The 23817-nt window shown below is 50.0% G+C and overlaps 1 protein-coding gene across 1 annotated transcript in view; it reads right to left on the minus strand.

Moving 5' to 3' along the window:
* Positions 1-23817, minus strand: part of FCGBP (Fc gamma binding protein) — a gene marked incomplete in the record, with an annotated part of 71312 nt that overhangs the window by 37949 nt on the left and 9546 nt on the right. Inside the window, 15 exon segments of the mRNA NM_003890.3 lie at positions 654-853; positions 972-1566; positions 4460-4973; positions 4976-5005; positions 5007-5044; positions 6489-6494; positions 6497-6505; positions 9406-9415; positions 9417-9421; positions 9803-9811; positions 10130-10141; positions 12420-12986; positions 13914-14518; positions 16801-17371; positions 23112-23461. Coding sequence (NP_003881.2) covers positions 654-853; positions 972-1566; positions 4460-4973; positions 4976-5005; positions 5007-5044; positions 6489-6494; positions 6497-6505; positions 9406-9415; positions 9417-9421; positions 9803-9811; positions 10130-10141; positions 12420-12986; positions 13914-14518; positions 16801-17371; positions 23112-23461 — 3521 coding nt within the window.

A 23817-nucleotide genomic window follows, 5' to 3' on the forward strand; every position in this document is an offset into this window, starting at 1 on the left:
GATCACTTGAAGTCAGGAGTTCGAGAGCAGCCTGGCCAATATGGCAAAACTCCACCTCTACCAAAATACAAAAAAATTAACCGTGTGTGGTGGCACGTGCCTGTACTCCTAGCTACTCGGGAGGCCGAGACAAGAGAATTGCTTCAACCTGGGATGCTGAGGTTGCAGTGAGCTTGAACCCGAGAGGCGGAGGTTGCACTCCAGCCTGGGCAACAGAGCAAGACTATATCTTTAAAAAAAAAAAAAAAAAGAGGCTCAGTGGGTCGGGCATGGTGGCTCATGCCATTAATCCCAGCACTTTGGGTGGCCAAGGCGGGACGATGGCTTGAGGCCTGGAGTTCACGACCAGCCTGAGCAACATAGTGAGACGCCCCCATCTCTATGTGTCCACAGGAAAATTAAAAATTCGCTGGGCTTGGTGGTGCGCACCTATAGTCCCAGGTACGTGGGAGGTGAGGTGAAGGATTGCTTGAGCCAAGGAATTTGGGGCTGCAGTGAACTATGATGGTACCACTGCACTCCAGCCTGGGTGACAAGAGTGAGACCCTGACTCTAAAAGAAATAAATAAGAGGCTAAGTAGACAGGCCGTGGGGCTGATGAGCAGTGGGAGGGGTGAGACCCCATATTCTGCCCCAGATGACTAGGTTCCTACCTCATAGTAGGCACCATTGTGGTAGCAGCCACATTGCTGGATGGGCACGCAGGCTTGGCCGTTGTAGAGGAAGCCGGAGTCACACTGGCAGCCCTCAGCACACCCATCTGGGCACTGCAGAGGGGCACTGAGAGCCGAGCAGCCCAGGGAGCAGGTGTCCGCACAGAGCTCGTAGTGACTGTTCTGAGGGCATTCCATGGCTGCAAGGAGGGGGTGCCGATCAGAGCCCTGGGGAGGGAGGGGCTGCAAGGCCCAGGGTCTACCCCTTCTGTGCCTCAAGCTCTCCCCTCCCTGCCCCTCCGGCTCTCCCTCACTCACGACAGAAAGTTTCATTCCTCCAGGGCTCCACGTGGCCTCCAGCCACCTGGCAAGCACTCACGTAGGCATGGATGTTGCTGCAGAGAATGCTCAGGTTCCCACCACCCAGGCAGAGATCAAAGATGCAATCTTTCAAGGGACCCTGGGGATCCACCAGCTTGTGGCAGGAGGACAGTGGCCCTGTGGGGCTGGAGAGGAGCCCACAGAACTCCTCCTTCTGATACTTCTTCTCCAGCTCGGGAGGACACTCCTCGCTGGGGATACAGCCCTCGCTCCCCGGCGGGCAGGTGGGCGGCGGCAGGCAGGGAGAGTCGGACACCACCTCCTCCCAGGAGTTGCCGAACTCATTGGCGTTGCCTGCCTGCGAGCCATTGGGCTTCTGGAAGTCATCCTTGGGGTCGCCATTGTAGTTCCCACACAGGCCACACATCAGCTGGTAGTAGTTTCCAGGGACGGTGACCCGCACATAGTACACAAGGTCGTAGGCCACACGCAGGCCGAAGTCGGTCTCAATCACAACATCTGAACCATGCTGGGAGGCACGGATCTGGCCGTTGGCCAGCACCACGGGCAGCTTCATGTCCACACCGTTCACCTGGGAGGGGAAGAGAGGCAGGCCACGCTTCAGAAAGTATACTTTGAGTGAGGGTGGGACCCTAGTTCAAGCCCATGCCTGATGCTGATCTTTGTGACCTCACCTCTTAGGCCCTCAGTTTCCTATTTATTAAATGGATATAATAACAGGGCCTGATAGTAGATTGAATGGTGGTCCCCAAAAGACATATTCACCCAGAATCCCATAGCGTGAGCTTACTCGGAATAAAGTTCTTTGCAGATGTAATCAGGGTAATAATCTCAACATGAGATTATCCTGGATTAAATTGGGCCTTAAATCCAATGACTAGTATCCTTATAAGAGCCAGAAAGAAAAAGGCAAAGAGACACACAGAAAAAGCCACATGAAGATGAAGGCAGGGATTAGAATGGTGTTGTCACAAGCCCAGAGAACCTGGAGTCTGCAGAGCTGGAAAGGGAAAGGAAGATCCCCCAACCAGTGTCTTTGGAGGGGGTGCAGCCCTGCCCACACCTTGATGTTGAACTTCTGGCACCCAGGACTGTGGAACATACATTTCTAGTGTTTTAAGCCACCAAGCTCGTGGTAATTTGTTATGGCAGCCATGGGAAACGAATACAGGTCTCGATGAAGTAACAAGCCTCCAGCTATCCTTTGTTTACCGCTTGCTGCAGCCATTAATAAGCAATGATCGCCCCCGGAGCCACTTGCCCGAGTTCAAACAGTTTCCCCCTTACCCTCTTTGTGACCTTGGGCAAGTGAGTCACCTCTCCCTGTTTCTGTTTCCTCATCTATCAAGTGGGAATAAGGCGTTTGCCCCATGGAACTGTTGTCAGGATCACATAAATTAGTATCTGTAAAGTGCTGAGAAACGTGGCTGGCATAGCATGCATGCTTCAGGAGCATTTGCTGTTATTAGCAGCTATGAGTGGAGGTTTTTCTTCTGAAGAGTAAACAGAACCACAGGTTTTTGCTTTAAAGCATCAGCGAGTGGAAAGTTAGGCTAAATTCTTGGGGAAATGAACTTAAACCTATGAGCTGAGGACCAGTGGTTTCAGTTAAAGATTTACTAGGCTCCAACAAAGCCTGGTAAATCCACCCCTGGACAGGGCACAGTGGCTCATGTCTATAATCCCAGCACTTTGAGAGGCCAAGGCGGGAAGATCACTTGAGCCCAGGAGTTCAAGGTCAGCCTGAGCAATATATCGAGATCCTGTCTCTACAAAATAAAAAAGAAAACAAATTAACTGGGCATGGTGGTGCATGCCTGTACTCCCAGCCACTCAGGAGGCTGAAGTGGTAGGATTGCTTGAGAGCAGGAGTTTGAGGCTGCAGTGAGCTAGGATCACACCACTGCACTCCAGCCTTGGTGATAGAGCAAGACCCTGTCTCTAAAAAATAAATAAATACATCAACCCCTGATTAACATGCTTTCTTACCCTTCCTTATCACAGACAGTGCACACCGGATTCTTTTGGAAATGTGAAGAATCAGAGGAGAAGGCAGGAGAAAGACATGCTCCTGGCTGAGTCTCCTAAAAAGATGGTCAACTGCCACACTTCCCAAGCAGGGCTGGGCGGTGGGTAAGGGCAACTGACTTAGCCTTGCCTCAGTTTCCTCAGCTGTAAACTGCGGGGTAATAAGAGCTCCCACATCTGTAGGGAAGCTGGGGGTTTCAGTAAGAAGCAACTAACAAGAACATCAACAACTCCTGTGTATTTAGGCGCTGTATGTCAGGGGCTATTCTAGGAGCTTGGGAAACATTAGGGAATATATTCAATTAAGTCCTGCATGTCGGCCGGGCACAGTGGCTCATGCCTCTATTCCCAGCACTTTGGGAGGCTGAGGCCGGCAGATCACTGAGCTCAGGAGTTGGAGACCAGACTGGCCAACATGGTGAAACCCGTCCCCACTAAAAATACAAAAATTTCCTGGGCATAGTGTTGCACACCTGTAATCCCAGCTACTCTGGAGGCTGAGGCAGGAGAATCACTTGAACCAGGGAGGCAGAGGTTGCAGTGAGCCGAGATCGCGCCACTGCACTCCAGCCTGGGTGACAAAGCCAGACTCTGTGCCAAAAAAAAAAAAAAAAAAGTCACGCCTGTCCAGTTCGCCAGATTAAGTCAGTAATTGATCAGCACCTTCGCCAATACTGCCACTAGAAAAACAGCTGCGTGTCTGTTTCAGTGGGATCTCAGGGGAAACCCCTCCACTGTAACTCAGATGCCAGTCTCCACATGAGACCAAATCTTCTCAGTAAGAAAAGCACTGCAGAGCAGCACGGGGTTCAAGCTCCACCTTTGCTGGGGGACTATGGGCCAGTGATGGGCCATCCCACTCTGAAAAATAAAGCAAGTCATAGTGCCTGCAGTCCCTGTTGCAAGCATACAGACACCATGGACGTGAAGTGCCTGGCAGCCAAAAGGTGTGCAGTCAGCTGTATAGAAACTATAGCTGCTGTTGTTGTTGTTAAGGCGGTGAGAGTGTCACCCACAGATTGTCCTCTGTCCATGAAGCTTCTCAAACTCGGACTTTCTCAACCTCTGATGGCACCACGTCCTGCCAATAAGTGGCAGACTAGGGAGGTGAGTAGGGCAGAATCCAGGACTGAGGTGGAGAGAGGATGGAGTGGGAGGGAGGAGAGGGTGGGAGAAATTTGGAGAGAAAAGTCAATGCATGGAGGTAAAGAGAGGGTGGAGACTGAGGGACAGAGATGGGGGAGCAGCTCCCAAGTCCCTGATGACACCTCCCTCATTGGCTTCCCACTCGGTTCTGACTGGCATCTTCTGTCCTCAGAGACCCCAGGCCTCGCACATGCACTCTCATCTCTTGTGCCCCCAACTCCTGGGCTGAGCGCTGCCTGTGCCCCACCTACCCACAGGCCCCTCGCCCCCTGCTCCCCATCTGCTCTCACCGTGACCTTCCACTGTCTCTGCTCCAGCCGCAGGGTGAAGTTTGCCACCTGGACCGTGATCACCCTGGTCACACTGACTCGCCCATTACCCCAGGCCACGTTCTCCTGCAGGACGGCAAACCGATGCAGGCCAGGCCGGGTGCCGCAGGTCTGAGCCAGCACATACACGCAGGTGCCCATGAAGTCGAAGCGGTGGCCATCGAAGGTGGTGTAGTGGGGATCTCCCGACGCCTGGCAGGTGGTAGAGCCCACGGCCACGCAGCCCAAGCTGCCACCGGATGGCCGGCAGGTCTCATGCGGGCCGCAGCTGGAGGGCTCACAGGACACCTCACCGCCCTCCCGGCAGCGGCAAAGGGAATCACACCCAGGGCCAGGGTAGAAGGTCTGGCCCAGTGGGTAGTAGCGGTCATCGTGGAGGCAGCCACACTGGCCCACAGGTACACACGTGTCACCACTGAGCACGAAGCCAGCATCGCAGACACAGCCTTCACGGCAGGCCGACTCACAGCCCTCGGGCACTGGGAGGTCTCCACAGGACAGCGGGCAGCCGTAGGAACACGCCTCATAGTGGCTGTGGGGTGGGCAGCTCAGTGCTGCAGGGAGAGGAGACATCAAGATCAAGAATTCCTGCTCCCAGGTCAGGAGTTCGAGACACACTCACATACAAGTGGTCCCTCAACACATTCGTATGCACACAAACACTCAAACACACTCACACACAAGTGGTCCCCCAAGACATTCATATGCACACACACGCTCAAACACACTCACACACACACAAGCGGTCCCCCAACACATTCGTATGCACACACAGATGCTCAAAGACACTCACACACAAGCGGTCCCATTGCAGGGTGCTTGGGGAACACATTACATCGCAGTTAATCTGATCCTGATAATTAAGATTCTTTCCCAATTTAACTATGGTTTGGAGTTATCTATTATGGTTTTTTTTTTTTTTGAGATAGGGGTCGCTCTGTTACTCAGGCTGGAGCGCGGTGGTGCTTGCTATCACAGCTCACTGCAGCTTTGACCTCCTGGGCTCAAGCAATCCTCCCACTTCAGCCTCCTGAGTAGCTGGGACTATAGGCGTGCACCATCATGCCTGGCTAACTGTTCAAATTTTTTATAGAGATGCGGTCTCGCTATGTTGCCCAGGCTGGCCTCAAACTCCTGGGCTCAAGCAGTCCACCTGCCTCAGCCTCCCGAAGTGCCGGGATTGCAGGAATGAGCCACCACACCCAGCCTTCTATTATGTCTTTAATGACCTTATTCAAGTTGGATACATGGTGTTGATATGTGGCATATATTTTAAACATGCATATGCATATATTTCTGTGTTTGTATAATCTATGCAATATTTGTGAATGCAATACTTTTAGCTTCTTCCTTCTATAGCAGTAATTAAAATATTTAGCCAGTGTTATAAAGAAAAAAAGAAAAACCTCCCTGCTCCCCTCCCCAAACTCCAGTCACTCCATAAAAAGCAAATCTAAGTGACTAAAACTAAACCACATTAAATCTCTATCTGTGCTGTCAAATACAGTAGCCACTAGCCACTTGTGACCATTTGGATGTAAGTTAATTAAAATGAAACAAAATTGAAGATTTAGCTCCTCAGTCACAACAGCCTCATTGCAAGTGCTCAGCAGCCACATGTGACCTGTGGTGACCTGGTATGTATTTGAACAGCTCAAATATGGAGCTGTCATCATTGAAGTTCTGCTGGGTGGTGCTGTTCTGAAGCTGACATCCAGCTTACAGGAGAATCATGGGGACATAGGGACAAGTTCAATAACACTCCAAAATAGCAACTAGCCAGATCCTGAAAGTATGAAATTCTGCAGGATAAATAACCTATCTTTCCCAGTAAATAAGTGACATAGACAAAAGGAAGAGCTGGATGGAGGGATAGCTATGTGATAAGGCAAATGAATGAATTAGAATTAGAGTGAAGAGGCCGGGCGCGGTGGCTCACACCTGTAACCCCAGCATTTTTGGAAGCCGAGGCAGGAGGATCACTTGAGGTCAGGAGTTCGAGACCAGCCTAGCCAACATGGTAAAACCCGTTTCTACTAAAAATACAAAAATTAGCTGGGCATGATGGCGCACATCTGTAATCCCAGCTACGTGGGAGGCTGAGGTGGGAGAATCGCTTGAACCCGGGAGGCGGAGGTTGCAGTGAGCTGAGATTGCACCACTGCACTCCAGATTAGGCAACAGAGTGAGACTCCATCTCAAAAAAAAAAAAAAAGAAAGAAAGAAAGAAAGAAAAAAGAAAAGAAAAAGAATTAGAGTGTAGAGTCCAGGTGGTAGGTTTATGGGTCTTCACTGTAAAATTCTTTCAACTTTTTTGTATATTTGACAATTTTCATAATACTATGTTGGGAGGAACAAAGGAAGGAAATTCTGACAGAGTAAAAGCAAAGAGGTAGATCAATCCAATGCAGTATGTGTATTTGGTTTGGTTCTAGAGCCAAACAAAATAGAAAAAAACCTTTTTTTTTTTTTAGACAATTGGGAAAATTTGAACCCAGATTGGGCTTTACATGATGTTAGGGAATTAATGTTATTGTTGTTACTGGTAATTACCACATGCCCTCATATCTCTTTCTTTCTTCCTTCCTTTTTTTTTTTTTTTTTTTAGAGACAGGGCCTCACTGGAGTGCAGTGGCACAGTCTCGCCTCACTGCCACCTCCACCTCCTGGGCTGAAGATATTCTCCCACCTTAGCCTCCTGAGTAGCTGAAATGATAGGCACTAGTCACCATGCCCGGCTTATTCTTTATTTTTATTTTTGTAGAGACTGGGTTTTGCTATGTTGCTCAGGCTGGTCTTGAACTCCTGGCCTCCAGCGATCCTTCCACCTAGGCCTCCCAAAGTGCTGGGATTACAGGCATGAAAAGCAAACTCCTGTGCCTTAAAAGTCCTTTTTTGTTGCTGAAAAGCAGATGCTTACTGAAGTAGTTAGAGGAGAACTGATCTGCCTAGAATTTGATCTAAAATATTCTACCAAAAAAGAGGGGGTGGAGTGAGAGGTAGAGGAACTAAGAATGGCAAAATACCAATAATTGTTCAAGCTGGGTCAGGCCTCCGTCTGCATATCTAAGACCTCATGATCCAGTCTTCTAGAACTTCCAGGTGGTACAAGGAAAGGAGTAGTTTTAAGGAAACAAGAGATTCTCAATTTCCACACAGGCCACAGAGTCTGATAATTAACAGCACAAAATCAGGAGCCAGCCTGTTCAAATCACCCCACCGGCTGTGTGACCTCAGGCTAGTTCCTTAACATCTCTGTGGTTCAGTTTCCTCGTCTTGTAAAATAGGAATAAGAGCAATTCTGCCTCACGGGGTGGTTGTGAGGATTCAATGAGAAACCCTTAGAACAGGACCTGCCCAGTGGGATGCGTGTCACACAACTGCTAGCTGGAATTATACGTGTCCTGCCTAAAAGGACAGCCCAAGAATGCTCTGTTAGAAGAGCATTCCCACTTCCCATTGTCCACCTGTCCCCTTCACAAGTGTGCTTCCTGCACTTTACAGAAGAGAACAGTGCAGTCCCCCACCCATCCTGAATCTTTTTTTTTTTTTTTTTGAGACAGGGTCTCGATCTGTGGGCCAGGCTGGAGTGCAGTGGTGCGATCTCGGCTCACTGCAATCTCTGCCTCCCAGGTTTAAGCTAAGATTCTCCTGCCTCAACCTCCCAAGTAGCTGGGATTACAGGCGCTCACCACCAGGCCTAGCTAACTTTTGTATTTTTTGTAGAGACAGGGTTTTGCCATATTGGCCAGGCTGGTCTCGAACTCCTCACCTCAAGTGATCTGCCCGCCTCAGCCTCCCAAAGTGCTGGGATTACAGGCATGAGCCACCACACCCAGCCCCATCCTGAATCTTAACACATGGCACAGTGCCCTGGAGTGTGAAACCTCTGAGGACATAAACGGACGATTTCAAATATTGCTATCGCTGTGAACACAACGAATGCTGAATCATTATTGAGTAATAAATCAAAAGGAGGGCCTAATAGAATTGGCTGCTCACAGATAATATAAAATAAATTTGTCGTGTCTCACTGTGTGCCTTCCCTATGACTCAGAAGGGGTTCAGAGCACGGAGTGATGTTACTCCACCTGCACTCTGTCCACTCCCACCCACTTATTAATATCATGTAAGCCAGGAGCTGTGGCTCAAGTCTGTAATCTCAGCACTTTGGGAGGCCAAGGCGGGAGGAAGGCTTGAGCCCAGGAGTTTGAGACCAGCCTGGACAACATAGCGAGATCTTGTGTCTACAAAAAATAAAAAATTAGCCAGGCATGGTAGTGTGCACCTGTAGTCCCAGCTACTCAGGAGGCTGACACAGGAGGACTACTCGAGCCCAAAGATGGAGGCTACAGTAAGCTGTGATCACACCACTGGACTCCAGCCTCGGTGACAGGATAATACCTTATCTCAAAAATAAATAAATATCATATCTACAAAAATGAAAGATAGGATTAGAATTGATGCTGAACCCTGTCTCATTCTAACAATATATGTGAAATATTGGGTGGGGGTAAGCTCACTGAGTGATGCCATTACAATGGCCATTACAATTTACTTCTGTTTAATATTTTTATCAATTGTGCACAAACAATTCTTGCAATGATATCTTACTCCATTAAAAAAACCACTTAGAGTCTTAGAGTCTCAGGAATTTCTAAAACTTCTTATATCTTTTATAAGAAGGCTGTTTTGTCCTGGGAGGTTTCACACCCCAGGGCAACATGCCACGTGTTGAGATTTGGGATGAGTGGAGACTGCACTGTTATTATTTTATTTTATTTTATTTTATTTTATTTTATTTTTTGAGACAGAATCTCGCTCTGTTGCCCAGGCTGGAGTGCAGTGGCTTGATCTCGGCTCGCTGCAACCTCTGCCTCCTGGGTTCAAGCGATTCTTCTGCCTCAGCCTCCCGAGTAGCTGGGATTATAAAAATTCTGAAATCTTAGTCATAGATGTGTATGTTTGTGGCAGAGAAGTGTGATGGCGATTGTGACACAGGCTGCCAATGGTCACGTCTTGACTCTGGGCATGACCATGGCACTTGCTTTGGCCAATGGGACATTGGCCACCATGATACCAAGTAGAGCCTTGGAAAGTGCTTGCACACTGGGGCTTGTGTGCTCTTAGGAATCTTGAGAGCACCTTGGGAAGAAGCCTTGGCTCACCTGCTGGAAGATGAGACCAAGTAGAGCAGAGACAAGAATTCCCAGCTGAGGGCCCCCCAAACCAACCAGCTTGACAACTGCCAGATGTGTAAAATCACCCTAGATTACCCGGCCTTGGCTGAGCCTCCAACAGACTGCAGAGATCAACCAAGCTGGCCCAGGCTGGGAGAACAGCTCAGCAGCCCCCAGAATCATGAGAAAGAATAAATACTTGGCCGGGCATGGTGGCTCACACCTGTAATCCCAGCACTTTGGGAGGCTGAGGCGGGCAGATCACCTGAAGTCAGGAGATCGAGACCAGCCTGGCTAACATGGTGAAACCCCCATCTCTTCTAAAAATACAAAGAATTAGCCGGGCATGGTGGCACATGCCTGTAATTCCAGCTACTTGGGAAGCTGAGACAGAAGAATCACTTGAACCCAGGAGGCGGAGGTTGCAATGAGCCGAGATCACACCATTGCACTCCAGCCTGGGCAACAGAGCGAGACTCCATGTCAATAAATAAATAAATAAATAAATAAATAAATAAAAATAAACACTTGTTTTAATGCACTCAGCCACTAAGCCTTGGGTTGTTTGTTAGGCACCAAAAGCCAGCTGATACAGTGACTTTAACAAAAGACTTCCATGCATTCAAATGTGTTACATTAGGTTAAATTCTGTTAGAACTAAAAAGCATTAGAAAATCAGTTCAGAAAGGCAAGGATTTGTTTTCTTATTCTCTCCCCTATTGTATCCGGAGTGTTTAGAATAGTGCCTGGAATACAGAAGGTATTTTTGAATGTTTTGGATATTTGTTGAATGAATGAATGTAAGTTGAAGGAGAAAAAGGAATGATGTATTTATCCTGTATTTTTCAGTGGACAATGATGTGTACCACTGTGTGCTATGTATCTGTTGAATACATTTAAAAGAGGAGCATAAGTCAAGTAATGGTTTCATTTTGAAATACCAATATTATGTTGATAATTGTGGAAACTAAATGATGGATATATGCTGGCTCACTATCCTAGTTTACTTTGGATATGTTTAAATTTTTCCCTAATAAAAATGTTCTTAAGGCCATGAGCAGTGGCTCACGCCTGTAATTCTAGCACTTTGGGAGACCGAGTTGGGCGGATCACTTGAGGTCAGGAGTTCGAAACCAGCCTGGCCAACATGGTGAAACCCCCTCTCTACTAAAAATACCAAAAAAATTAGCCAAGCATGGTGGCGGGCGTCTGTAGTCCCAGCTACTTGGGAGGCTGAGGCAGGAGAATTGCTTGAACCCAGGAGGCGGAGGTTGCAGTGAGCTGAGATCGTGCCACTGCACTCCAGCCTGGGTGACAGAGTGAGACTCCATCTCAAAAAAAAAAAAAAAAAAAGGTTCTTAAAAGTCAAAAGTTACCATTTGTTAGAAATTATAAGTTTTATGATTATTTCAGGTGAAAAACTAGACATGTATGCTTCTATTAATTCCAAAATTCAAAAACTTTAGAAGTCAGAATAGTGGTTACCTCTTGGGGTTGGGAACCTGGATTTTTTTTTTTTCTTGAATTTGGGACAGTTCACACAGGTTTGTTCTCTTGGTGAAAACTGATCAAGCTGTTAGCTTATGATATGTACATATTTTTAAATATCTGTATTATATTTCAATAATAAATTTTTTAAATTAAAAATCGGGTGAGAGGAAACTGGTACGATGGCTCACACCTGTCATCCTAGTATTTTGAGAGGCCGAGGCAGGAGGATTGCTTGAGCCCAAGAGCCCGAGACCAGCCTGGGCAAAATATCAAAACCCTGTCTCTATAAAAAATATTTTAAAAATTAGCGGGGGATGGTGGTGCAAGCCTGCCGTTTCAGCTACTCAGGAGGCTGAGGCAGGAGAATCGCTTGAGCCCAGGAGTTCCAGGCTGCAGTAAGCTATGATTGCACCACTACACTCCAGCCTAGGCAACAGAGCAAGACCCCATCTTAAAAAAAATCAGGTGAGAGGATGCATGGCTTTTCAAACTTCTTTCATAGGCAAGCAAAGGTGTTGGAAAACCATTCATGCACCCACCTCTGAAACAAGGCTCTCAAACTGACTGCCCAAGGGGTCAGGCAGATGTAAATAAGCGAGGTAGGATAGATGGGGACCAAAAAGAACCAGAGAGGGGATGAGACTCCTAATGACAATACTGTTGCTCATATCTCAATGACAGCTGTTATGTGGGAATCAGACCCTGGGCCACCAGGTGTACTCAGTCATTTTACAAATACCAACTGCCGCTGGGCACGGTGGCTCACGCCTGTAATCCCAGCACTTTGGAAGGCTGAGGTGGGCGGATCACGTGGTCAGGAGATCGAGACCATCCTGGCCAACATGGTGAAACCCCATCTCTACTAAAAATACAAAAATTAGCTGGGCTTGGTGGCGCATGCCTGTAATCCCAGCTACTCTGGAGGCTGAGGCAGGAGAATAGCTTGAACCAGACTCAGAGGTTGCAGTGAGCCGAGATCATGCCACTGCACTCCAGCCTGGTGACAGAGCAAGACTCCATCTAAAAAAAAAATACCAACTGCATGCCCACCATCTGTGATTTTCTAGCTATCATGATCCCAGGTGTGTAACTGAACCTTTCTGAACTTCAATTTCTTCATCTGTTAAATGGGTATAACCACAATCCCTACCTCATAGGGCTATTATAAGGATTAAATGAATTAATGATATTTATACATTAATGAATATATATAAGGCTGAGTCCCCCAGTTGCCACTTCCGATACTCACGGCAAAGTTCTTCACTCCTCCAGGGGTGCACTGTGGCTCCAGCAGCCTGGCATGCAGCAGCATAGGTGGCCAGTGCGTCACACAGTGGCCCAGACTGGCCTGGCAGCAGGCAGCGGTCATAGACACAGTCGCGCACGGCACCCTGGGGGTCCAGCTTGCTATGGCACTCCCGGAAGGGCCCCTTGGGGTCGGCAAGGATTCCACACTCATTCTTGCTCTGCAGCTGCTGGGCCACCAGGGAGTCCAGCTTGGGACAGTCACCCGGTTCAGTTGCTCCACAGCCGGGCCTCGTCTCTTCTTGCCAGCTGTTCCCAAAGGCCAGTGCATTGGCAGCTTGACCCCCACCCCGCAGAGCCAGGTCATCAGCTGGGTCCCCGTTGAAGTTCCCACAGAGTCCACACAGGGCCTCAGCATAGCTGCTGGGCACCTTGGCAGTCACTCGTGCATTCCAGTCATAAGTGACAGTCAGGCCAAAGTCCGTGCGCACGACGGCATCCCTGCCCTGTCGGAACACCTGCACCTGCCCATCTGCTGCTTGGAAGGGCAGATACTGAAGGACGTCATCCACCTGGGTGGAGATGCAAGAGGGCCACCTGGTCAGGGTATTCACAGTTCTGTGGCCCACCCTTCAATTCACTCACCTCCAGCTACCCTGACCTCCTTGCTATTCTCTTGGACATATTACGCTCAGTCCCACCTCGAGGCCTTTGCACTTGCTGTTCCCTCTGCCTGGCTCACCATTCACCCCTCTTCATTCCTAAAGCACCAGCTTAAATCCAAATCCCTCACCCATGGCCTTCAAAACCTACATGATCTGTCTATCTCCCCATTACCTCCCTCGCCTCACCTCTTCTCACTGTCCCTCTCACTCAGGCTGCTGCAACCATACTAGCTTTCTTTTCTTTTTTTTTTTGGACAGGGTCTCACTCTGTTGCCCAGGCTGGAGTGCAGTGGCACAATCTTGGCTCACTACAACCTCTGCCTCCTGGGTTCAAGCGATTCTCTCTCAGCCTCCCTAGTAGCTGGGATTACAGGTGTGAGCCACTGCACCTGGCTAATTTTTTTTTCTATTTTTAGTAGAGAGGGGGTTTCACCATGTTGGCCAGGATGGTCTCAAACCTCAGATGATCCACTCGCCTCAGCCTCCCAAAATGCTGGGATTACAGGCGTGAGCCACGGTGCCCAGCCACTAGCTTCCTTTTTAAAATAGAGACAGGGGTCTCACTCTGTCACCCAGGCCAGAATGGAGTGGCACGATCATAGCTCACTTCCTAGCACTTCAGGAAGCTGAGGCGGGAGGGTCACTTGAGCCCAGGAGTTGGAGACCGGCCTGGGCAACTTAGTGCGACTCCGTTCTGCACAAAAAGGAAAAAGGAAAACGAAAAAAATAAAATCTTCTAACAGGCCTCCCCCACCCTCAGGCCCATCCAGAACTCCAAGTCTTCAGAGGGTATTTCCTGCTCCGTCACCCAGCCCTGGGCGCCACGTCGCTCACCAGCACTTGCCCGGGGTACTCCCGGCGCACGGCCACCTTCACCCCGCGGGCCTCCACCCGCACGGCGCGCGTGTAGCTCACAGTCTGGCTGCCCCGATGCTCGTTTTCCACCAGCACCCGGAAGGCAGGCAGCGCTGCGTTCTGGCCGCATGAGCCGACCAGCAGGTACGTGCAGGTGCCCATGAAGTCGAAGCGCCGGCCGTCGAAGCTCACATAGTGTGGGTCCCCGGACCCCTGGCAGGTCCCGAAGCGATCGGGGTAGCAGCCCAGGAGGCCGTTCTGGACGCTGCAGCGCTCACCCGCCGGGCAGCTCTGCTTGTCGCGGCAGGTGACCTGATGGGTGGCGCCGTTGCAGGTGCAGCGCCTTTGGCACAACTCGTCCGCCCACACTTCCTGGCCCGGAGCGAGCTGGAGACCCTGGAAGGTGCAGCCACACGACGAGGCCGGCACGCAGGCGCCGCCGCTGGCCACGAAGCCTGGGAGGCACACGCAGCCCTCCACGCAGGGGCGCCCGGAGCAGTTGGACGGCGCCGCAGCCCCGTTGCAGGAGGTCGGGCAAGCAGGGCCGCAGAGCTCATAGCGGCTGTTGGCAGGGCAGGACAGGGCTGCGGGGAGATCAGAGAGGGTGGATCAGGCCCGCGTAGCAGGGGCCGTCGAAGAGCGCCCTGTCGGGGACGGCGCCCAGGAATTCCATCCCCAAACCCTGCTCCTCTCTCAGAGCTCGCCATCTCAGATAATGGCACTGCCATTCTTCTGGGTGCTCCTGCGCCACACCCCAGCGACGCAGTTAATCTCCACCCCGCCAACCCCCTAACGCTCACTGGACAACCAATCTGTCAGCAAGTCCTGTGAGCTCCATATTCAAAATCTACCCAGATTGGCCGGGAGTGGTGGCGCAGGCCTGTAATCCGAGCTACTCAAGAGGCTGAGGCAGGAGAATCGCTTGAACCCGGAAGGCGGAGGTTGCAGTGAGCTGAGACCACACTACTGCACTCCAGCCCGGGCGCAGAGCAAGACTTTGTCTCAAAAAAAAAAAAAAAAATCCACCCAGTTACAGAATCTGCCTCTGATCCTATCCACCGCAGCAGCCTCCTGCCTGGGCTCCCTCCTGCCCCCACAGCCTGTTCCTCACACCAGGCCGAGGAATCTGGGAACATCTGGGTCAGATCAGGTCCCTCCCCATCTCAGAGCACTACTGTGGCTTCCTCTCACTCAGGGTAAACGCCAGAGTCCTCCCCATGCCTCAGGAGGCCCTGTGCCATCTGTTCCTCTCACCTCTCAGCCCTCACCTCTTCTCCCTCTCCCTCGGGCTCACTCTGCCCCAGCCCCAGCTGCCTCCTCCTCCCGGGTCCTCACCCTCCCACCTCAGGGCCTTTGCATTGGCTGTTCCCTCTGCCTTCCCTTTCCCCAGAAAGCCCACTGGGGCCCAGGTGGCCTGGGTTCAGATCCCAGATCTCTCCTTCTCGGCCACTGACTCCAATCTCCCCGTGCCTCAGTTTCCCCATCAGTAAGATGGGATAATGTAGTCGAGACCTCACAGGGTTGTTGTGAGGATTAAATGAGTTGATCTATGGGGAAACATTCTGTGGACATCACTGTTAGTTAGTACTTAGCTGACTCCATTGCCTGACCCTGGTCTCAGCTCCAATGTTACCTGCCCAGAAAGGCCTTCCCTGATCACCCTCTTCACGAGCCTCACAGTCACTGTCATTGAATGAACTTGTTTCTTTGCCTCTCTGAAGATACTTCCTAGTTCATCTGCTCACTGTCTGTGTCCCTCCCCTGCCGCTAAGAGAGAAGTTCTGCGGGAGTGGGGACCTGATCTGTCTCAATCACTGCTGAGTCCCCAGCACCAAGGACAGGGCCTGGTACGCAGCAGGTGCTCAGGAAATACTGCAGAAGTGAAAGGGAGAATAAATGAACTCTCTGATTCCTATTTTGCGCCAGGCATGGGGTTGGGGGGGTGCTTACTGGGCAGTGGGGACACAGAACTGGCCAAGACAAACACCTAGTGGCCTCTATGTCTGCCCTGTACTTACTCCCCCTCCCTCTGGGCCTGGGCCTGGATGCCTCTTCCTCCCTCCTACCTGTCCTTTCTGCCTCTGGGACATGTCTCTAGGAGCCTCACTCACAAGGGCAGGAATAGATTTATGCTGGTCTTCACTGTGTCTTCAATATCATTAGCATGCACAGGGGGCAGGCAGGGGTTCAAGGAATGCTTGTGGAATGAATGAGTGAACGATTAAGCAGACGGACACCTGGCTAAAGAGCCTGGACTTTATCTAGAGGGCAATGGGAGTCATGGGAGGGCTATAGGCAAAGGAAGAGACGTCACGTCTCTGTGTTGGGATTCTGCAGACAAGAATTCCCGTCCTGCCAAGCCTTTGAGCATGCTGTTCTCTGGGCCTGCAACTCACTTCCTCCTCTTTCTCTTGGCAACTTCCAGCCCCTCTTATGGGTTTCAAATTGGACATCTTTCTCTAGAAAACCCTCCCTGACCACCCCTGCTCCCCAGGCTGGGCCAGGAACCTCCTCTGGTTTCCCATAGCCCCACTGACTTCCTCCATCCTGGCCCCAACCCCTCTGCCTGTGTCCCCCGCAATCCCAGCCCTGACTCATCTGCCTGTCTCTCTCCCATCCTGGCCCCAACCCATCCGAGTGGGCCTCCCCATCCTGCCTGGACCCCTCCAGACTGTCAATGTCTAGTGAAACGTCTCTCCAACCTTAGGCTCATTGTGGACAGAGCTGGCTGTCTTGGCCATCACTAGGCCCCTGGCATTGCCCAGCACCAGGCTGAACCATAATAACTTCTCAGATATTAAGCAGATGCTAGGGATCTCCTGCCCCTCACTGTATGCTCCCAGCCCCCACCCAGGGCATCACTCACGGCAGTTGGCTGGTGATCTCCAGTCCCCAACCGAGATGCCAAGCTCCAGACAGGCCTGGGCATAGGCGCTGAGGCCACGGCACAGGCTGAGCCGCTCCCCACCGACCACACACAGGTCATATACACACTGCTCCAGGAAGGGCCTGGGGTCCAGGGTGTCATGGCAGACAGCGAAGGGGCCATCGAGCTTGGTCAGCATGCCACAGAGTCGGTCGCCCTCATAGTGTTGGGCCTGGCCTGGGGTGCAGGCGGGACAGTTGTTCTGGCAGCCATCCTCACACAGGTAGTCCCCATCATCCAGCTTCCAGCTACTTGCGAACTCCACAGCGTCAGGAGCCAGAGCCCCGTCAGGCGTGAGGAAGTCGTCTGCTGGGTCACCATTATAGTTGCCACACAGCCCGCACACCTGGTCTTGGAAGCGTGCAGGCAGGCTGAGTGCCAGCTGGCAGTCCCAGTCATAAGTGACCACCAGCCCAAAGACCAGCTCCACCACGGCCCGTGGTCCGCTCTGGTACACACGCAGGCGACCCTCACTCAGGGAGACTGGCAGGCGCGAGCGCTGGTTGTCAACCTGCAGAGTGGGTGAAGAGGAGGTGGTCAGGCCCCTGTGCCATCTGGCCTCCAGCCCTCATTAAAGTACTTTTTAATTAAAAGTTTTAAATAGGAGAATATAGAAAAAGAGTATGTGCTCAAACGTCACTGACTCAAGCCTTCCCTGACTGCCCTATTTTATGATTTTATTTTATGGTTTGTTTGTTTTGTTTTGTTTTATAGAGATGAGGTCTTGCTATGTTGCCCAGGCTGATCTCAACTCCTGGCCTCAAGCAATCCTCCTGCCTCAGCCTCCCAAAGTGCTAGAATTACAGGCATGACCCATGGGACCCAGCCTACACCCCTTTTTAAATGGCAGCCTTGGGCCGGGCGCAGTGACTCACACCTGTAATCCCAGCACTTTGGAAGGCTGAGGCGGGTGGATCACTTTATGTCAGGAGTTTGAGACCAGCCTGGTCAACATGGTGAAACCCTGTCTCTACTAAAAATAAAAAAATTAGCTGGGTGTGGTGGGGCACGCCTGTAATCCCAGCTACTCAGTTGGCTGGGGCAGGAGAATTGCTTTAACCCAGGAGGTGGAGGCTGCAGTGAGCCAAGATCGTGCCAAACAGAGTGAGACTCTGTCTAAAAAAAAAAAAAAGGCAGCCTCTCCCTATTCCATAGCCTCCTTCCCTGCTTTCCTTTTTTTTCTATAGCATCTGGCCTTCTGAAATATAATTCACAAATTGACCATGTTTATCATCTGTCTTACTCCATCAGAATGGCAGCTCCACAAAGACAAGGGTTTGGGTCTGCTTTGATCACTGCTTTATCCCCAGTGCATAGAACAGGGCCTGGTAGAATCCCAGGCACTCACTAAGTGAATTAAGTCACTGCTGCATTTAATAAACATTCACTGGGCACTCACTCTGTGCCTGGCCTTGAGCTGGGAGATCCTGGGAATACGAAGGTGGCGGAGACAGCCCCAAGCCCTACCCTCATGGGGCTCCCAGTCCATTGGGAGAAACAGACACATCACCAGACAGTGAGAGCTCAGAGGGGTCAGGGCAGAGATGGGAGAAGCACAGGCAGAAAAGTCAAGGCCAGGATCAGAAAGGCCCAGGCAGAGGGGTCAAGGATGGGATAGGGGAGGTACAGGCTGAGGGTTCAGAGCTGGGATAGTGGGGAGATAGGAGGCTGTGAAAACCTAGAAAAATGGCCAGATCTAACCTTGCTGGTCAGGGATGTTGAAATCTTAACACCCAACATGATGGTATTAAGAGTGGGGGGAGGCCTTTGGGAGGTGATTAGGTCATGAGGGTGGCACCCTCATGAATGGGATTAGTGCCCTTATGACAGAGGCCTCAGAGAGCTCTCAGATCCGCTTTCCACCGTGTGAGGATACAAGGAGAAGTAGGCCATCTGCAACCTGGAAGAGCACCCTCACCTGAACCTGGCAGTGCTGGTGACCTCATCTTGGACTTCCAGCCTCCAGAACACAGAGACGAGGTTGTGTTGTTTATAAGCCTCCCAGGCTCTGGAGAAGCCTGAAGTCTGACTAAGAACCAGGAGATAAGAACTATGTCTCTCTGTGCCCTGGGGCATCTTTTTTTTGAGATGGAATCTTGCTCTGTCACCAAGGCTGGGCTGCATTGGCACGATCTCGGTTCACTGCAACCTCTGTCTCCCAGGTTCAAGTGATTCTCCCACCTGGGATTACAGGTGCCTGCTACCACGTCCAGCTAATTTTTGTATTTTTAGTAGAGATAGGGTTTCACCATGTTGGCCAGACTGGTCTTGAACTCCTGACCTCAAGTGATCTGCCCACCCCTGCTCAGCCTCCCAAAGTGCTGGGATTACAGGCATGAGCCACCGTACCCAGCCTTTTTTTTTTTTAATTAATAAAAAAATTTTTTAAATTAGATATGGGGGTCTCACTATGTTGTCCAGGCTGGTCTGGAGCTCATGGCTCAAGCAATCCTCCCACCTCGGCCTCCCAAAGTGCTGGGATTATAGGTGTGAGCCACCGCACCCAGCCTGGGCATCTCTTTCTTACTCTTTCCTTACACATTCTCTGAGCTGTGCCAGAGCTGAGACTTGAAGTGGAGAAGTCTTAGCCAAGAGGATGGAATATGATAAAAGGAGCAACAGGAGAGAGGACAGCATGAGCAATGGCCCAGAAGGAAGACAGAGCATTCACTCATTCCGGCTCCCAGCAAAGCTTCTGTGAGTCCCACTGTGTGGCCTGCTCTGTGCCAGCTGGTGCTTTAGACACTGCAGTGATGGAGACAGGCCATGGCCCCATGCTCAGAGCTCTCAGTCCAGCATGGCTGCTCAAATCTGTTTCTCCCCTAAGTCCAGTGATCTCCATTTTAATTTTTCTATTTTTTTATTTATGTATTTTTTTGAGACAGTTTTGCTCTGTCACCCAGCCTGGAGTGTAGTGGCAGCATCATAGCTCACTGCAGCCTCGACCTCCTGGGCTCAAGCCATCTTCCTGCCTCAGCCTCCCAAGTAGCTGGGACCATAGGCAGGCGCCACCACACCCAGCTATTTTTTTTTTTTTTTTTTGGTAGAGATAGGGTCTCCCTATGTTGCCCAGGCTGGTCTCAAATTTCTGGGCTCAAGTAATCTTCCAGCTTCAGCCTCCCAAAGTACTGGGATCACAGGCGTAAGCTACCATGCCCAGCCAATCTCCATTTTTAAATGACACAAATAATATTCGTTCATTACAGAAAACTGAAAATGCACAGGAGCAAAAATGAGAAAAGAAAATCACCCTGTAGGCAGACACATACAAATGTATAGATCCTGTTGAGTTTTTTCCTACCTTTAGATATATTTACACTTAAAAAAAAAAAGACCATGCTGAAGTCACTATTTCATTAACTCCTCTCCTAACAATGTCTTGTGAGTATCCTACTATGATTCTGACAGTAGCTCTGCACCTTTGTCAAGTCACTGACCTCTGTGAGGATCTGACGGAAAAAAAAATGAAAGGCCGGGTGCGGTGGCTCATGCCTGTAATCCCAACACTTTGGGAAGCCGAGTTGGGCGGATCACAAGGTCAGGAGATCAAGACCATCCTGGCTAACACAATGAAACCCCAGCTCTACTAAAAATACAAAAAATTAGCCGGGCGTGGTGGCATGTGCCTGTAGTCCCAGCTACTCGGGAAGCTGAGGCAGGAGAATCGTTTGAACCCAGGAGGCGGAGGTTGCAGTGAGCCGAGATCACGTCACTGTACTCCAGCCTGGGCAACAGAGCGAGACTCCGTCTCAAAAAAAATAAAAAGTAGTTTTCAGAGAGAGGTATAAAATTCTGTATATAATTTCAAGGGATCTGAAGTCCGCCTGAACTTGTGCTCAACCCCTCCAGGGCTGAAGAACACCTCCTTTCACCAACTGATTATTAATCGCAGAGATCTACCTGCACACTCACAAAATCAGGGAGGTACAAGAATATTTATTTCAGGTCAGATACAGGGGCTTACGCCTCTAATCCCAGAACTTTGGGAGGCCAAGGTGGGAGGATCACTTGAGACCAGGAGTTCGAGACTAGCCTGGGCAACATAGCAAGACCTTATCTCTACTAAAAATAAAAATACTTAGCCCAGTATAGTGGCATGAGACTGTAGTCCCAGCTACTTGGAAGGCCAAGGCTGGAGGATTGCTTGAGCCCAGGAGTTTGAGGTTGAAGTGAGCTATAATCACACCACTGCACTTCAGCCTGGGCAACAGGGCAAGACCTTGTCTCAAAAAAAAAAAAATCAAAAAAATATTCATTGCAGTATTGTTTGTAATAGTGAACAATGTGTCCATCCACAGGGGACTGGTTGAATGAACCATGGTGTTCATATCCATATAAAGAATTGTGCAGATGTTAAAAAAAAATAGAGGCTGATAGAGAAACTGTTGATAGAGAAACTGTTTCAGAATGTATTGCTAAATGCAAAAAGCAAAGTAGAGAACACAACATATATATACACATATACATGTATATATGTGTGTGTATATATGTATATATATATATATACACATATATACTCTCTCTCTCTATATATATATATATTTTATTTATTTATTTTTTTTTTTGAGACAGAGTCTTACTCTGTCACCCAGGCTGGAGTGCAGTGGTGCAATCTTGGCTCACTACAACCTCTGCCTCCTAGGTTCAAGCGATTCTCCTGCCTCAGCCTCCCGTGTAGCTGGAATTACAGGCATGCGCCACCACGCCCAGCTAATTTTTGTACTCTTACTAAAGATGGGGTTTCACCATGTTGACCAGGCTGGTCTCTAACTCCTGACCTCAAGTGATCCACCCACCTAGGCCTCCCAAAGTGCTGGGATTATAGGCATGAGCCACTGCGCCTGGCCCTGAAGTTATTGAACAGGCAAAACTAATCTATGCTGGAAAAAAAAAATCAGAATTGTGATCATCTCCAGGAGTAGGTTGGGGACTGTTTGGTAAGGCACATGAGGGAATTTTCCCAGGTGATAAAAATATTCTGTATCTTAATGGGCAATTTGGTTACACATTTGCCAAAGGTGAACTATACAGTTAAGATTTGTGATTTTTGTTATATATAAATTTCACCTCCAAAATCAGCCAAAAGAAGTGTGAAAATATTATATTCTAGTTAATGACATGGTGAAGTCTTTTGGGTGATATGTACTCATGTCTGGAACTTTGAAGTGCATAAAAAATAAGAGAGATTGTGGAATGGACAGAGGGATGAACCGATGGATCAGTGTGTGATCAATCAAGAAGAGTACAGTGTTTAGAATCTAGATGATTGGCACCTGTAATCTCAGCACTTTGGGAGGCTGAGGCAGGCCGATCAGTTGAGGCCAGGAGTTCCAGACCAGCCTGGCCAACATGGTGAAACCCCTCTCTACAAAAATACAAAAATTAGCTGGGCATGGCGGCACATGCCTGTCATCCCAGCTACTCGGGAGGCTGAGGCAGGAGAATCGCTTGAACCTGATCCTGCCGCTGCACTCCATCCTGGGTGACACAGCAAGACTCTATCTCAAAAAAAAAAAAAAAAAAGAAAGAAAGAAAGAAAGAAAACTCTAGGCGATTGGCATATGAGCATTCACTGTATAAGAATTTCAACTTTGGACATTTTAATATTTTCATAATAACATGGCGAGAAAAAGGAAGTAATTGCTCTAGGCTGCTGTTATTCATATGAACTGAATAGAAATGCATTTACCAGAGTCAGGACAGCTGAGGGATTAAGAACAAGGACTCCAGAGCCAGCATGCCTGTGCCCTTAGCTCCACCTCTTACTAGCTCTGAGCCCTGGGGAAGTCACTAGCCTATCTCAACCTCAGTTTCCCAATCTGAACATGTTCATAATAATAATGCCTCCTGCACTGAGTTTGTGAGCATTAAATTCGTTAAGATGAGAAAAGTGCTAAGAAACATATCTGGTGCATAGCAGGTGCTCATTAAATTTAGTTATTTGGTCAACGTAAATCCCCCATTGCTGGATAATTTTTTGTTTGTTTGTTTTTGTTTTATGCTATTATAAACCATGTTGGCATGTTACCCCCCAGTCTCTGTCTCTGAATATCCTTTAAATTTCTAGACGTGGGATGGCTGGAGGGCAGGGTTCTAAGGTCCTGCTACTGATTTTCAAATCCGCCTCCCCACCCTCCAACTCCATGGCCCACTTCCCTGCACCCTGGTTTGAGGTCGGCCATTGGGCTTTGCCTCCGCCTTCGGACCCGCAGCTCATGGATGTTAACCCCCCAAAGCCCCCAGGTACTCACCAGGACGAAGCCAACTTCACCGCGGGTCAGCGACACAGAGTGGCTGTAGGCGCGCACAGTGACGAGGCCCACGTAGGAGACGCGGCGGCTGCCCCGGTGCTCGTTCTTGGCCTCCACGCTGAAGGCGGGCAGGGTGTCGTCCTCGCTGCACAGCTCCACCATCGTGTACGAACAGGTGCCCATCATGTCGTAGCGACGGCCGTCGAAGGTGGTGTAATGGGGGTCGCCCTGGGCGCGGCAGACAGCGGTGGACTCCGCCACACACCCGGCCTTCCCGCCTACCACCTGGCAGCGCTGCCCGGCTGCGCACTGCATGCCTTCGCAGGAGGGCTCCACTGGGGACAGTACAGCTGGGGAGGGAAGGGAACGGTGAAAAGAGAGAATCAGAAGTGTCCGCGGGGTTGTAATCCCAGCACATTGGGAGGCCAAGGTGAGGGGGGCGGATCACTTGAGGTCAGGAGTTCGAGACCAGCCTGCCCAACATAGTGAAACCCCATCTCCATTAAAAACACAAAAATTAGCAGAGCATGGTGGCACATGCCTGTAATCCCAGCTACTTGGGAGGCTGAGGCAGGAGAGTCTCTTGACCCCAGGAGGCGAAGGTTGCAGTGAGCTGAGATGGCACCACTGCACTCCAGCCTGGGTGACAAAGTGAGACTCTGTCTCACAAAGAAAAAAAGAAGAAAGAAGAGGAAGAAGAAGAAGA

Source organism: Homo sapiens, chromosome 19 (assembly GCF_000001405.40).
Source record: "Homo sapiens chromosome 19, GRCh38.p14 Primary Assembly".
Classification (NCBI taxonomy): Eukaryota; Metazoa; Chordata; class Mammalia; order Primates; family Hominidae; genus Homo; species Homo sapiens.